This window comes from Homo sapiens, chromosome 4 (genome assembly GCF_000001405.40).
Source record: "Homo sapiens chromosome 4, GRCh38.p14 Primary Assembly".
NCBI classification, from domain to species: Eukaryota; Metazoa; Chordata; class Mammalia; order Primates; family Hominidae; genus Homo; species Homo sapiens.
The window spans coordinates 185,263,405-185,278,268 of NC_000004.12; the positions used below are offsets into that span (position 1 = coordinate 185,263,405).

General features: G+C 39.8%; 1 protein-coding gene across 11 annotated transcripts in view, besides 1 other annotated feature; it reads left to right on the forward strand.

Moving 5' to 3' along the window:
* Positions 1–14,864, forward strand: part of SNX25 (sorting nexin 25) — a 174,406-nt gene that overhangs the window by 59,168 nt on the left and 100,374 nt on the right. For 10 of the 11 annotated variants that reach the window (NM_001317781.2, NM_001423234.1, NM_001378032.2 and 7 more), the window contains exons 4-5: positions 1,034–1,206; positions 3,565–3,751. In NM_001317781.2, the coding sequence (NP_001304710.1) occupies positions 1,034–1,206; positions 3,565–3,751 (360 nt within the window). The remainder of the gene's footprint in view (positions 1–1,033; positions 1,207–3,564; positions 3,752–14,864) is intronic. The other variant, NR_186775.1, reaches the window with a different exon arrangement.
* Positions 2,474–2,975: an enhancer, noted in NCBI's record as "NANOG hESC enhancer chr4:186187032-186187533 (GRCh37/hg19 assembly coordinates)". NCBI's record gives its function as "activates a minimal SCP1, AML or CMV promoter by ChIP-STARR-seq in primed H9 embryonic stem cells {active_cell/tissue: H9 hESC(primed)}" and the evidence as "EXISTENCE:reporter gene assay evidence [ECO:0000049][PMID:30033119]".

Sequence of the window (14,864 nt, forward strand, 5' to 3'; positions counted from 1 at the left end):
TTAAAAAGTCAGCGTATCAGTATATGCATAAAGGCTTATTCTAAAAATTTCCTTTCATGTTGCTGGCTTTACACATTAGGATAGAATTCCTTCAGGTTGTACAAGACAGAGGAAACCTTTCTTTTCTAGCGTTATACACTCTAGAAACTAGTTTCAGTCTCCAGTGCAAAATAAATTTCAGTTAACACCTGAGAGGCATGGGTCCTAAAGGTACTAATATGCACTAGTTTCATTTCCTGTGCAGTACCTAGTATGTTTCTCTCCCTCTGCTTCATGTTTTTTCTCATTGTTAGCTACTAGTTACTGTAAAAATCTCTTATACTTTGCCTCCTCATCTAGAACATATTAGAAAACGCAGCATCCCAGGCTTTCTTGAATCACTATCAAGATACTATGGGAAGGGAAGTATAGAAAGTTCTGTTTTCCAGTCCTCTTCACTCAGATCCTCCAAATTAATGTTCCTGGGATGGAGTCAGTACAGGGAAGTGCACAACCAAGGTTGTCAAGACTGGTTGAAAAATACTTTGGAGCCTCACAGAAGGCAATTTGCCATCAAATTAGATAACGTCGAGTTTATAGACCCTCTAGCTCACTAGAAATACCTGTAGACTTTTTATCCTATTATCTCCCAGTCAGAAAGCAGGCTGGCAACCCTGGTTTATGCTTTGTTAGGTTTTTTTGAAAAATGAAGCTGCAGGTCATATTTAAGAAAACATCTAGAAGACTTAAAAATTACTAAATAAATACTCGTACCTTTTTAGATTGTTGCTGTGATTTTGGAGTTATATAGACCCTTTGATGCTACTGAAGTTCGTTGTTATGATTTCATTTGAAATCCAAAAAAGGCCATGCATTTGCATTTATTCTAGCAAAAGTTTTCCAGATGAGTTGATGGTTGAGGAAATTTGATTATTTAGGAGATGGCAGTTACTATAACCAATGTGTTTCTCATTTGAAATATTTTTTACCTAATAGTACATAATTGAATTGTTTCTAGAAACTTCTTTCCTTCTTTTTCACTCTCTTTATTTAGACATGAAGAACAGCCAAGACCTTTTGTGTTGCACGCATGCTTGAGGAACTCAGATGATGAAGTAAGATTTCTACAAACGTGTTCTCGGGTTCTGGTGTTTTGTCTCCTCCCCTCAAAGGATGTGCAGTCTCTCAGCTTACGTATAATGCTTGCAGAAATTCTCACAACAAAAGGTAGACTTATACAGTTGATTTCACTAATTCAATAAGTGTGCAAACTAATGTGCTACATGCAGACCTTGTTTACTGTTGAACATATGGGATTTGAAGTATTTTCAAAATCTTGTTTATATGTCTCTAAAACTATTTGGCCATTCAGGATAAACTTAAATTTTTAATATGACATATCGCCAAATGCACAGTCCATTAAGTTGCATGTTTTGACATAGAAAACAAGTTTTTATGCTCTTCACAGGGAAGCATTCATTTGGGATAGCTTTTGAGTTATCTAGGCCAATAATATATACATTAATGAAAGTATGTGTATGTGTGTATAATATCTATATAATATCCATAGTATGTATGTTTATATATTACGTGTGTGTGTGTGTTCAAATTCTTTTTTTTTTCTTTAAATAGAGATGGGGGTCTTACTATGTTGCCCAGGCAAGTCTTGAACTCCTGGGTTCAAGTGATCCTCCCACTTAGGCCTCCCAAAGTGCTGAGATTACAGGTGTGAGCAACCATCCCTGACCACAGTCAAATTCTGATTAGCATATTTACTTAAAATATCTTTGCTATATGATTTGTTGATAATGCGTATACAGTAATGCATTGCTTAACAACAGGGATGTGTCCGAAGAAATGTGTCATTAGACAATGTCATTGTGCAAATATCATAGAGTGTACTTACACACCTACATGGGATAGCCCACTACACATGTGGGCAATATGGTGTAACCTATTGCTCCTAGACTATAAACCTTATACCATATTACTGTACTGAATACTGTAGGCAATAGTAACACAATGATATTTGTGTATCTAAGTATAGAAAAGGTACAGTAAAAATATGGTATAAAAGATAAACAACAGTACACCTATATAGGACACTTACCATGAATGGAGCTTGCAGGACTGGATGTTGCTCTGAGTGAGTGGGGAGTGACTGTGAAGGCCTAGGACATGACTGTGCACCACTGCAGACTTCATAAACAGTGTACGCTTAGGCTACACTACATTTATTTAAAATTTTATTTTCTTCAATAAATTAACCTTAGCTTACTATAACTTTTTTTACTTTATGAACTTTTAATTTTTTTAAACTTTTTGACTCTTTTGTAATAACATTTATCATCATTATCAAGTATGCACTGTACATAATTGTATGTGCTGTATTTTTATACTATTGACAGTGCAATAGGTTTCTTTACACTAGCTTGACCTCATTAAATGGTAGAAAATTTTCAGCTTCATTATAATCTTATGGGGGCCACTGTCATATAGTCAGTCTGTTGTTGACCAAAATGTCATTATGTGGCGCATGACTGTACATAATTTTGTGAACTTGGAATATGTAAAAAGGAACTGTACCACAATATAATGTGATTACTAGAAAAAAGTTAACTATATCCAGGGAAATGCTTAGTCAGGATAAGAGAAACTTTCCCTATCTCAGTCTCAGACAAATAGCATTGCATTTGAGATGCAGTGATTATCTCATTTACTATCTCAGGATAAGCCAGCTGTGCCCATCAGCTATTATAACCAACCACAGAGAAGAGAGGAAGTTTCTAATCTCAAGTTACAAGGATGGCTTTGTAATAGTGTCATTGACTTTTTAACTTCCTCTCTGAGGTCTGTTTTAACCAGTTGGGGAGAATGTTGACTTTCATCCTTTGGCAGACTAAGCTTGTCAAAACGTATTGAGCCTTATAAAATAAGTAAAAGAAAAAAATCAGTGTTTTTTTGGTTGTTGTAATTTTGTGGTTTTTTGTTTTTTGAGATGGAGTCTCACTCTGTCGCCAAGGCTGGAGTGCAGTGGCGAGATCTCGGCTCACTGCAACCTCTGCCTCCCGGGTTCAAGCAATTCTCCTGCCTCAGTCTCCCGAGTAGCTAGGATTACAGACATGTGCCACCATGCATGGCTAATTTTTGTGTTTTTGGTAGAGATTGGGGTTTCACCATGTTAGCCAGGCTGGTCTCAAACTCCTGACCTCAAGTGATCCACCTGTCTCAGCCTCCCAAAGTGCTGGGATTACAGGTGTGAGCCACCACGCCCGGCCTTAATTTTGATAGATTTGTTAGCAACTTGAGTTCCAAATGACTTCCCTTCATGATTCTTTTACATTTCACTTATTTATTAAAATGACAACTTGATTATAGCCATGGATGATAACATATTTGGAGGGATAGGCAGCTGTATGTGTGCATGTGTGTACATTTTTGAATTGTTTATTGTATTATATAGATATTCCCCTGTTTGACTACTTGAAAAATGTTTCCCAAATGTAGTCTCAGTTATGTGATACATAAACAGTTCCCTTAAAGAAGAATACCTTTCTCAGTGGCTATTTCTTCTTCTTCCTGTAGTCTTGAAGCCGGTAGTGGAGTTACTGAGTAATCCAGATTACATTAACCAAATGCTGCTTGCCCAGCTGGCGTACAGAGAGCAAATGAATGAGCATCACAAGAGAGCCTACACCTATGCCCCCTCTTACGAGGACTTCATCAAGCTCATTAACAGCAACTCTGATGTGGAGTTCTTGAAGCAACTAAGGTATTTGGTCTTCAATTATAGCACAGCAACAGCTACTGATTATCATCCCCTGCCTAGTTAGGTTAAAAAAAAAAAAAAGTAGTTGTCAGGGAAGCAGAAATAAAACAAGTCTATAAATCTTACTATTTAGTGACAGCTAAATTTATCCAGCGTCTCCTTAGCAGTGTAATTAGAATGAATTTTTTTAAAGTATTAGGTTTTTCAAATACAGTTGACTCGAACAATTTGGGGCACCCACGCTCCCCACCGCCCCCACCCCCAGTCAAAAATCACATATAACATTTGACTTGGGCCAAGCACAGTGGCTCAAAAGTGCTGTAATCCCAGCACTTTGGGAGGCTGAGGTGGGCGGATCACTTGAGGTCAGGAGTTCAAGACCAGCGCGGCCAACATGGTGAAACCGCATCTCTACTAAAAATACAAAAATCAGCTGGGTGTGGTGGCACATGCCTGTAGTCCCAGCTACTCAGGAGGCTGAGGTATGAGAATCACTTGAACCTGGGAGGTGGAGGTTGCAGTGAGCTGAGATCACACCACTGCACTCCAGCCTGGGTGACAGAGTGAGACTCCTTCTAAAAAAAAAAAAAAAATTGACTCTCCAAATACTTAACTACTAAATACCTTACTGTTGACCAAAGCCTTACTAATAACATAAACAGTTGATTAGCACGTATCTTGTGTGTTATATGTGTTATATACTGTATTCTTACAATAAAGTAAGCTGGAGAAAAGAAAATATTATGAAAACCAGAAAGAGAAAATATATTTACTATGCAGTAAGTGGAAGTAGATCATCATAAAGGTCTTCATCCTCATCTCTTCACATGGAAGTATGCTGAGGAGGAAGAGAATGAGGAGGGGTTTGTCTTACTGTCTCAGGTGGCAGAGGCAGAACAAAATCCTGTGTAAGTGGACTCATGCAGTTCAAACCTATGTTTTTCAAGAGTCAGCTGTAATGAGGCTATAATAGACTGAAAGCTCTTCAGATGTCGGGAGTACCTGCTTAGCTGCTCAGATGACTACCTTAGAAAAGCACTGGAAGGACATCAGAAGGAGAAGATGTGTTTCAAATTACAGAGTAGAACATTGTGTTGGTTTTTGTTTGTCTTGGACAGTACAGAGGCTTGGGTTTGGGAATAAGAGGTTCTAGATTAATTATTTTGAGAAAACACATTTGAAAATACCATAGGAGTATCTTTTATAGGGGAGCACAGTGTCCCTTGTTATACCTGAGATATTTTAGGGGGTGTGTATTTTTGTGTATTTTTAATAGTATATACACATTTAGTATGATTATATAGTATTATCTAGTTTGTAAATTTTCTAGGCTTCTGTTTCTCTACCCTTCTTTTTAATGTTCCCAAATGATAATATAGGGGAAAGAAAGAAAACTCTTATATGTTCATTTTGCTTTTCATTAATAATTTTGGTAAAACCCTGATGGAAAAGTAAAATATTGGTTGAAATTGGGTGTTTGAATTAGTCGAGGTTTTTAAACTTGTGACATTTGCTTTTGAACTAGGGTTAACATTAAGATGACTCATGCTGTTTAATTTTCTGATTCGAATAAAGCACCATCTAAGGAGGCATAGACGTAGATGGCACTGTGTTCTTATACATGGTGTCATGTGTTAATCTAGGTGTCACAAATACATAATGACAGCTTCAATTTACAAATACATACCTCAAATACATAATGACGGGTTCAATTTACAAATATATACTCAAATATATAATGATGAGTTCAATGTAAATGGATTTGTTTACAAGGAATTTAATTTTGGGTATAATATATATCTGATGTAATATCTGGAGATTTAATGTTTCTCTTGCCATGCATAATTTTGAATAGACTACATGATATTCTTTATAGATTTGTTTTTATTTCTGTCTGAGTCTAGACATTTCTTTTTCGTAAGTGTGATGCTTGAGCTAGAACCCAAGAGCCAGTATTCCAGGTTTGTTATGTGAGGCTCACAGGTTACATCCACTCAAGTCATCCTTATCATAGTGTCCTTCGATTCCTTTTAAAGCATCATTCTATAAAAGTGAAAGAGCTCAGTGGTAGAACACCCTTGTTGCCTCTCCTCTCCCTAAAACTGTACGTACACACACACACCCCAAACTCTAGTTGTAGGGATGCTATTCAAACCTATACTCGAATACTCATCTACCTGGTGTTTTCGTGCCTGCTGTTCCTGGATTTGCTGTGCATGGTGTGACAAGGTGACATGATGACTATGCCCCACAACGTTATAAATTCTTCCTAAGTCATTGTTTATGAACAGATAACTCATGTTGATAATTTGTGGCTTCATTGAATTCCTGAGCATTTTTCTTTGACCAAATAGTCGTTCCACAGTAAAGGCAGGTGTGGACTATTTGGTAACCCCAAGTGAGTTTAAGATAACAATCTAGAGTCAATAGTGGCAGATTAAGAGAATCAGTATTCCTTGTTCTTACAGACTTGTGGATGAGTGTTCTATTTTGTGTGCCAAACTGAAGATTCCAGCACTGCACATAGGGATGTATTTAATAGTTAATGGAGGAAACAGAAAGGCATCAGAGTTTTGTTGTTGTTTTGTTGTTGTTGTTGTTTTTTAAGAGACAAGGTCCTGTGGTGTTGCCCACACTGGAAACAAACTCTAAGGCTCAAACAGTCCTCTCCCTCAGCCTTCCAAGTAGCTGGGACTACAGGCGAGCTCCTGATTTTTTAAAAATCAGAACTAGTTATTTTGAATGATCTACCACTGGTTCTCTAGCACCATCTGTTATTTTGTATCTTAACACAGTTCCTGTATTGTAAGATGAATGAATCTTGATAAGAATTAATGGTTTATCTTCTTCAAAATGTACCAGCCAAAGATTCAGAACTATTTAAATACTATATACAGTTCATCATCTGGTAGACAAAGAAGTAGCTCAAAAAAAAAAAAAAAAAATCCCAGCACTTTTGGAGGCTGAGGAGGGCAGATTGCTTGAGCCTGGCAGTTCAAGACCAGCCCGGGGAACATGGCGAAACCCCGTCTCTACAATAAAAAACAATAAAACTATGGTGTACACTGCCCCAGGATGATTGAACAGCTTACTTTTATTGCAGTAGGCACATCATGGATTGCCTTAACTTGATTGACCAAAGATTACACTGAAGTTCTGATTTTATGTTTTTCCTTTCCCTGCTACTATGTGATGAAACAAAAATAGTGTGAGCCCTTAATCTTTCTCAAAGATCGCTTCCTCTTGACGTCATAAATAGGGCAAGATTAAAGGGATAGCACCTGGGTGCCCTGGGAAGCAGGCCCTTTGGTCTTGAGCACTGAGGGACTTAAGAGGCAGTAGAAGTGCTAAACTGAAGAATACCTTTTGAAAATGAGATATAATTCACGTACCATAGAATTCACCACCTTTAAGTGTACAATTCCGTGGTTTTAGTGTATTCAGAGACTCTGATTGTCACTACTATGTAATTTCAGAATATTTTCATCACCCCAAAAAGAAACCCTGTGCCCACTAGCAGTCACTCCCCATTCCTTCCCTCCCTCCAGCCCTTGGCAACCGCCAGTCTGCTTTCTGTCTCTATGGATTTGCCTAGTCTGGACATTTCATGTAAATGGAATCATGTAGTATGTGGCCTTTTGTGTCTGGTTGCTTTCACTCATTATGTTTCCAAGGTTCATTTGCATTGTATAATGTATCAGTGCCCCATTCCTTTTTTTGGCTGAATAATATTCCATGGTATGAATATAGCACATTTTATCCTTTCACCGGTCCATGGGCAAGTTGGATTGTCTGCCATTTAAAGGATGCCTTTTGAGTGACCGTTGAGCATCTTCAGTGACGTTGTCAGTGACTGTTTACAAGTGAGAGTAAAATAAAATGTTGCAGTTCCTAACCTCTTCCTAGTATGGCCTCCTGCCACAGCGTACCCACCGCTGCCAAGGAGTGATGGGACACAGGCACCAGGAAGGTGCATTCCTTTTGTGCACTATTCCTGTTCTGTATGTTGTATATTCCTCTGTCTTCCTTCTTACTACTAGGCTTTGTGTTTCCAGCAGAGTTTGCAGAGTCAGTGGGAAGGGCACTTGGAGGTATTTGGATTAGATAATCGAGCTTGACAGGTGACTAGTCTATTAGAGGCAAAAGGGATACATTCTCAGACTTAATTAGGTTGCATCCTTTTATAAGCAATCTCAGCTCACTGCAACCTCTGCCTCCGGGTTTAAGCGATCCTCCCACCTCAGTCTCCCAAGTAGCTGGGACTACAGGCACACGCCAGCACGCCTAATTTTTGCCATGTTGGCCAGGCTGGTCTTGAACTCCTGGCCTCAAGTGATCCACTCGCCTCGGTCTCTCAAAGTGCTGGAATTACAGGTGTGAGCCACCGTGCCCGGCCTGGAACTGTTTTCTTAATTCATAGACTGAGCTATTCTGTTGTTTTTCTGGTACAATTATAGTACTCTGCTATCTGACTTTATTGGTGTTTTACATTACTATCTTCAAATTGCTCTCAATACAATTTTGGGATAGGCTGCCTGAGGCAGGTAATGTGTTTTATTTAGACTAAGCAGTTGATGTACCTATCCACTTTTATTTTTTACATATTTGAGAGATGCGTATTTTCTAAAGGAAATGAAGTCATTCAACTCTGTTAGGGCGGAATGCGCTAAAAACAAACACAAAAAACCTTGAAGGTGATATTTGTAGTTCTGGAATAGTTTGGTTATTTTCTGAATCAGCATGAAGTGCTTTCACAGTAGAACTAGAAATGCATCCTTCAAATATACTAAATTAGTGGTTTTAACCTAGGCTGTATGTCAGAACCACTGAGACCTTTTAAAAAAGTAAGTTGTATATTCCACTAGCTTTTGTAGCTTTTCCTTTGTCTTCTTTTCTGGATGCAGGATGTTGAAGTGAAGATGTGGTGGCTATACTGGTGTGATATTTTGAATTTTCCATGGTTTTCTGGTAGGAGCAGTGACTGACTCTGCTAATAGCACAAGAGCCAAAAATGTGAATGCCACCTTGGTTCCGGATATTAAAGGGCAGCTGGATGGGTTTCCCACAGTTGGTGTAGGTGGTGAGGGATGCCACAATCAAGGAAGGCAAACCAGAGCTCAGAATGAAGGTGCATCTGTTAGTGAAACTCACAATTGCCATTAAACTAGAGAATAGACTGAGTGTTCCCTTGTTTTCAAGATAAAGTGGGGTCAAAGCAAACATTACAGTAGAAATGAAAGGTTTGCCCTTTCAGAACCTCTTATAAATGCGCGGACAGCTTGTGGCCCAGGAAAACATCCATTGCTGCCTGCATTGTGTAATCCTGCAGTGCATTTGTAAACTGTGTGCTAATGAAAATGGTTTGTTCTTCCACAAATAGGTGCCTCGGCTTCACCCCTAGGAATTTTTATGTAATTGGTCTGGAGGGGAATCCGGGCATCAGGATTTTTAAAAAGCTCCCCTGGTGATCGTAACGTGCAACTAATATTGAGATTCTCTTGTAAATGGAGTATTCTTCCACCTGCTTCCCATCTGAAGTCTTGACTAGACATCCTGTTGTATAATTCATTGCACCCTAATTATTTGAAAACTGGTTGTACTATTTGAGATATATGGAAACTCTGTTGAGGAGAATATTGACTGATCGGGATACCTCATTCTTTTACCACGTTTATTGCAATGAACAAAGGGTGTTTTCTCACTGACCTTCCTGAGAGACATTTTTAACCTAAGGTTTCTCAACCTTGGTAAAATTGACACTTGGGGCTAGATAATTCTTTATTGTGGGAGGTTGTTCTGTTTACTGTAGAATTTTTAGCAGTATGCCTTGCCCCTACCCACTGAATGCCAGTGGTATTCTGCTGTACCCTTACAGTTGCGACAAACAAAATGCTTCCGGACATTGCCAAGTGTCTTAGGGGGAAAAGCTGCACCTGGTTGAGAGCCACTGGCTTAAACCCATGAATAGATTGGAGGTACTTAAATTAGTTAGGATCCAGTTCAGCTGAAGGTTACCAAAAACCTCCCAAATAATGATGGCATCCAAAGTATAGCAGTTTTTTCCCCAGATTGATTGAGATACACGTGACCAATAAAAATTCTGTATATTTAAGGTGTACAGTGTCATTTATTTATTTAGAGACAGGGTCTCACTCTGTCACCCAGGCTGGAGCGCAGTGGTGCAATCACAGCTCACTGCAGCCTTGACCTTCTGGGCTCAAGGGATCCTCCCTCCTGCCTCAGCCTCCCAAAGTGCTGGGATTCCAGGGGTCAGCCACCATGCCTGGCTGATATTTGATGTATGTACACATTGTGGAGTGATTACCACAAGCAAGCTAATTAACATATCAATTACCTTACATAGTTACCATTTTTTGTGTGTGGTGAGAACACCTAGGATCAACTCTTAGCAAATTTCGAGTGTATCATACCCAGTATTACCAGCTGTAGTCACCATGCTGTGTGTTAGCTCTCCAGAAGTTACTCACCTTTGTACGCTTTAACCAGCATCTTCCAATCTCCCTCCCACCTTCAGCCCCTGGTAACCACCATTCTACTCTCTGCTTTTAGGAGTTGGGCTGTTTTAGATTCCACATGTACGTGAGATGATGCAGTGTTTGGCTTATTTTATTTAGCACAGTGTCCTCCAGGTTCATCCACATTGTTGCCAATGGCAGGATTTCCTTCTTTGTTAAGGCTGAATAGTAAAGCAGGCAGTCCGGGACTTGTGGTGTGGGGGCTCCATCCTTCTCAAGGAGCCAGACTCCTTCCAGCTCACTGCTCTGCCATCCTGAGAGTATAGTCCAGAGTCTTCATGGTCCAGGGTGGATTCTAGAATTTCACCCATCATATCCTAATTCCAGCAAGCAGGTTGAAGGCAAGGAAAAAAGATGACAAGGTTATACACGGGCTTTTTTTTTTTTTTTGAGATGGAGTCTCACTCTGTCACCCAGGCAGGGATGCAGTGGCGCAATCTCAGCTCACTGCAACCTCCACCTCCCGGGTTCAAACGATTCTTCTGCCTCAGCCTCCTGAGTAGCTGGGACTACAGGTGCGCCCCACCACGCCTGGCTAATTTTTGTATCTTTAGTAGAGACAGGATTTCACCATATTGGCCAGGCTGGTCTCGAACTCCTGACCTCATGATCCACCCGCTTCTGCCTCCCAAAGTGCTGGGATTACAGGCGTGAGCCACCATGCCCAGCCAACACTGGCTGTCTTTTAAGGACCTTTCTGGAAACTACTGCATGGTATTTCTGCTTTTATTTTATTGGTCAGAACATTTGAGATATGATGGGTAATTTTATTCTGGGCAGCCTTAGACCTAGTTAAAAAATAGAGGATTCTATTACTTAGAAAGCAGGAAGAATGGATATGGGATATGCAAGCAGCCATTTTTGCTGCCATAGCACATGGATAGTTTAGTGAGGCAGAATAGCTCTACTTCCCACACAAGCATGAGAAACATGCAGCTTTCCTGGACTCGAACTCTTTGCCAAAGTTAAAGAGATGCCAAGCAAATACTCAAGAGGAGAAAACTTTGTTTTCTAAGCTACCATGTGCTGAATATCTATTATGTATTAAGCACAGTGTTGGATTCTTAATAATTATCATCTTTCTTGATCATTATAACAAGCATATGAATTAGGTAGTATTTTTTCCCTTCTTAGGGTTGTAGAAAGTAAACTGACTTGCCCAGGATCCCATAGATAATAAACAACAGAGCTGGGATTTGAACTGAGGTCGGCCTGACTTCAAATCCCATATTTAAGGCTGGGTGACTTGCTAGCCAGGTGGGCAGAAAACAGCAGTGACACAGGGCTCTAACTTTTGGGGGTTTTCTTCAAGTGTGGAGATAACCCTTTACTGTTTGTGAGTCTCGGCTGGCACTAAACCTTTGCACAGAGGACAAATAATAACATCAGAAGTGTTGACAGCTATTATTAGGACAGTGATAGACTGCCAGAGAGGCAGGTAGTGATAAAGAAAATCAGAGCAGCCTATTACTGCCATAATTTTATTTACCACCGATCTAGTCTTTATTCGATGTTTCAGTTCTGGATTTGTTTATTTCTGACCCCTCATTTGAAGATCAACATGGAGAATCTGAAAATAGTAGAGAGGGAATTTTAGTAATGGCTGAAAGGTTTAAAATTCAAACGATTAAGGATTATTTAGCTTGGAGAAGAAAAGAAGATTTTTTATCTAATACATAGATAATACATGAGATTAAGGTGGTGGTTTCTGTTTTACTAGGATAAAGCAAGAGGAAAGGGGCATAATTAATTAATTAATGTAAAAGATTGCAATTAACAATAAAGTGGGTTACTGATGGAGCTTTCTATTTTGCTTATTTTCTCTTTAGCTATTAAAGGAATGGATTTTTTTCTTTGAATTAGTTCAGGTCTGCTTGCACATGAAGATAATGTATTAAAACATGAAAATTCTTAAAATAGCATGCTTCTTTGAAGAACTTAAATTATTTGAATGTTCAGTGTTTTGAACAGTGATTCTGAAAATACATTGTGACTCATGAGCAGTAAAATAGGATTATGTTGTAAAGGAACATGAAATAAGAAATCAAGTGTACCTCCATACAAACTAATACATCATGTCAGCAATCAGTGAGCACATATAAACTGCCAAGGAAAAGGTTAGTTGTGGGTGGACAAGGAGATGAAAAATCATAATATATAAAACAAAAAGAATCCTGGCAGATTTTTATGAAAAGAATGAATGAATATAAATTTAGTTCCAAAAAAACTCAAAATGTGAGGCTGTTTATGAAAAATACTCTAAAAGATCTTTCAGTTTTATGAGAAAAGTTCATTGACTTCAGAATATACCTCCTTCAGTTGGTGTCTGAGAAATAGCAGAGGGCACATATCAGAGAACACACATTATTTTCATTTAGCAAGAAGGATAATTATGTATTGGCAGCAATATAAAATTTGATGTAAGAAGGGGAAATGTTGGTATAAAGAAGTTTATGATCTCTGAATTTATTATGTTCTTGTAGTTGGAGCAACACTGCACTGAGGTATGCATATCTGCTTTATGAATGAGTAAGGGTGAGTCAGTTTATATAAAGTACTTAACTCAAGATATGGCACATTTCCCTCTATTAGCCACCACTGTAGTTGTTGTTATGATCATTAGACCAAGGATAGCAAATAGATTTAATCTTACTGTGAACAGTGATCAATTTCTAGTGGTCAACTGGAGTGCAATATTTATTTTTGGGGTTTGAGAAGCTCCAATAAATAACAACACTCTTCCTCCCATCCCGAGGTCGGAACCGTTTTAAAGCCAAAGAATAAAACAAACAAGACCAAAATGTCACTTACATTACTAATAGATAATGGAGAACGTGGCCTATATGTGCAAGCAAGCAGCATGCTTTCTAAAACAACCTCAGAGCCAGGTGTCATGGCACACTTGGGAGGCTGGGGCGGGAGGATGGCTTGAGCCCAGGAGTTTGAGCAACAGCCTGGGCAACATAGTGAGACCTTGTCTCTTAAAAAAACTTAAAGGTAAAATAAATAGTCTCAGGATTAAACCATCTTTCCCATCTAGCAATGCTGGACCAGAATAAGCCTCCTTGACCATGCTTTCCCCGCCGCCCTGTCTCCCTGGCAGGTCCAGGATCCACCTGCTGGCTGCCCTTGGAGGCAGAGAACACACACCCTTAAGAGGAAGGAAAAAAGAAAGGCTGTGCTTCTCCACATGCTCATTTGTCTTTCTGTGATCAGATAAAAAGCCTCCTCTTGCCCTAAGGAGGAGTAGGCGAAGGGTTGAGAAGGGCCAGAGATGAGGCTTCTTATGTATGGAATGAAGCATCAAGAGTTGGGGGTGGGTAATGCTCTTCCCCTTTTTTATTTTTATTTTTCAAGAAGGAGTCTCGCTCTGTCACCCAGGCTGGAGTGCAGTGGCACAATCTCAGCTCAGTGCAACCTCTGCCTCTCGGGTTCAAGTGATTCTTGTGCCTCAGCCTCCCGAGTAGCTGGGATTACAGGCGTGTGCTACCACATCTAGCTAATTTTTATATTTTCAGTAGAAACTGGGTTTCACCATGTTGGCCAGGCTGGTCTGGAAGTCCTGACCTTGTAACCCACCCACCTTGGTCTCCCAAAGTGCTGGGATTACAGATATGAACCACTGAACCTGGGCCATCTTCTCCTTTAAAAAAGAAAAAAAGTGGTGCTAAGTCCCTACTGAAAAGAATTTTGTGACTCCCAAGGTCTGTTGAAGGAACGGTGGAGAAGAGTGGTAGAAGATGTGTGCTGGTCGTTTTCAACAACTGGCTTTTGGGCAAGGTGAGAAACCCTGACTGTGGCATTTGCTGATCTCTGTGGTGTTAATACTCCCGCCATGGCCGATTTAAAGCCACCAGCATGACGTCACTGAACGTGGACTTGGGGAGAGATTTGCAATAGCACACCATTACAGTATATAGAGTATTTCCAAAATACTGACATAAAAGATGTAAATAACCTCACAAGCATATGTAATAATAAAACTAATGAATAAAGTTATTAGGAAATGATGAGTTTTGAGTACTTATTACCTTTTTTTTTTTTTTTTTTTTTTTTTTTTTTGAGACGGAGTCTCGCTCTGTCGCCCAGGCTGGAGTGCAGTGGCGGGATCTCGGCTCACTGCAAGCTCCGCCTCCCGGGTTCACGCCATTCTCCTGCCTCAGCCTCCCAAGTAGCTGGGACTACAGGCGCCCGCCACTACGCCCGGCTAATTTTTTGTATTTTTAGTAGAGACGGGGTTTCACCGTTTTAGCCGGGATGGTCTCGATCTCCTGACCTCGTGATCCGCCCGCCTCGGCCTCCCAAAGTGCTGGGATTACAGGCGTGAGCCACCGCGCCCGGCCTTATTACCTTTTAAAAAATAAAATTTATTTAATTGTAAGTTTGTATAATTTAATTTTTAGTAATGATGTGTTTAATTTCTAAATATTTAGCAGCCAGGTCTCATGAGGTGGCACAAGCCTCAGGGCTGGCTCCTGCACATCACTAAGCGGTAGCCACATGTTCTGTCTTTCAATGACCCTGTACTGTAGAGAAATGCAGTTCTTCCAAAGGTGGAGGACGGTTAACAATGCAAGTCA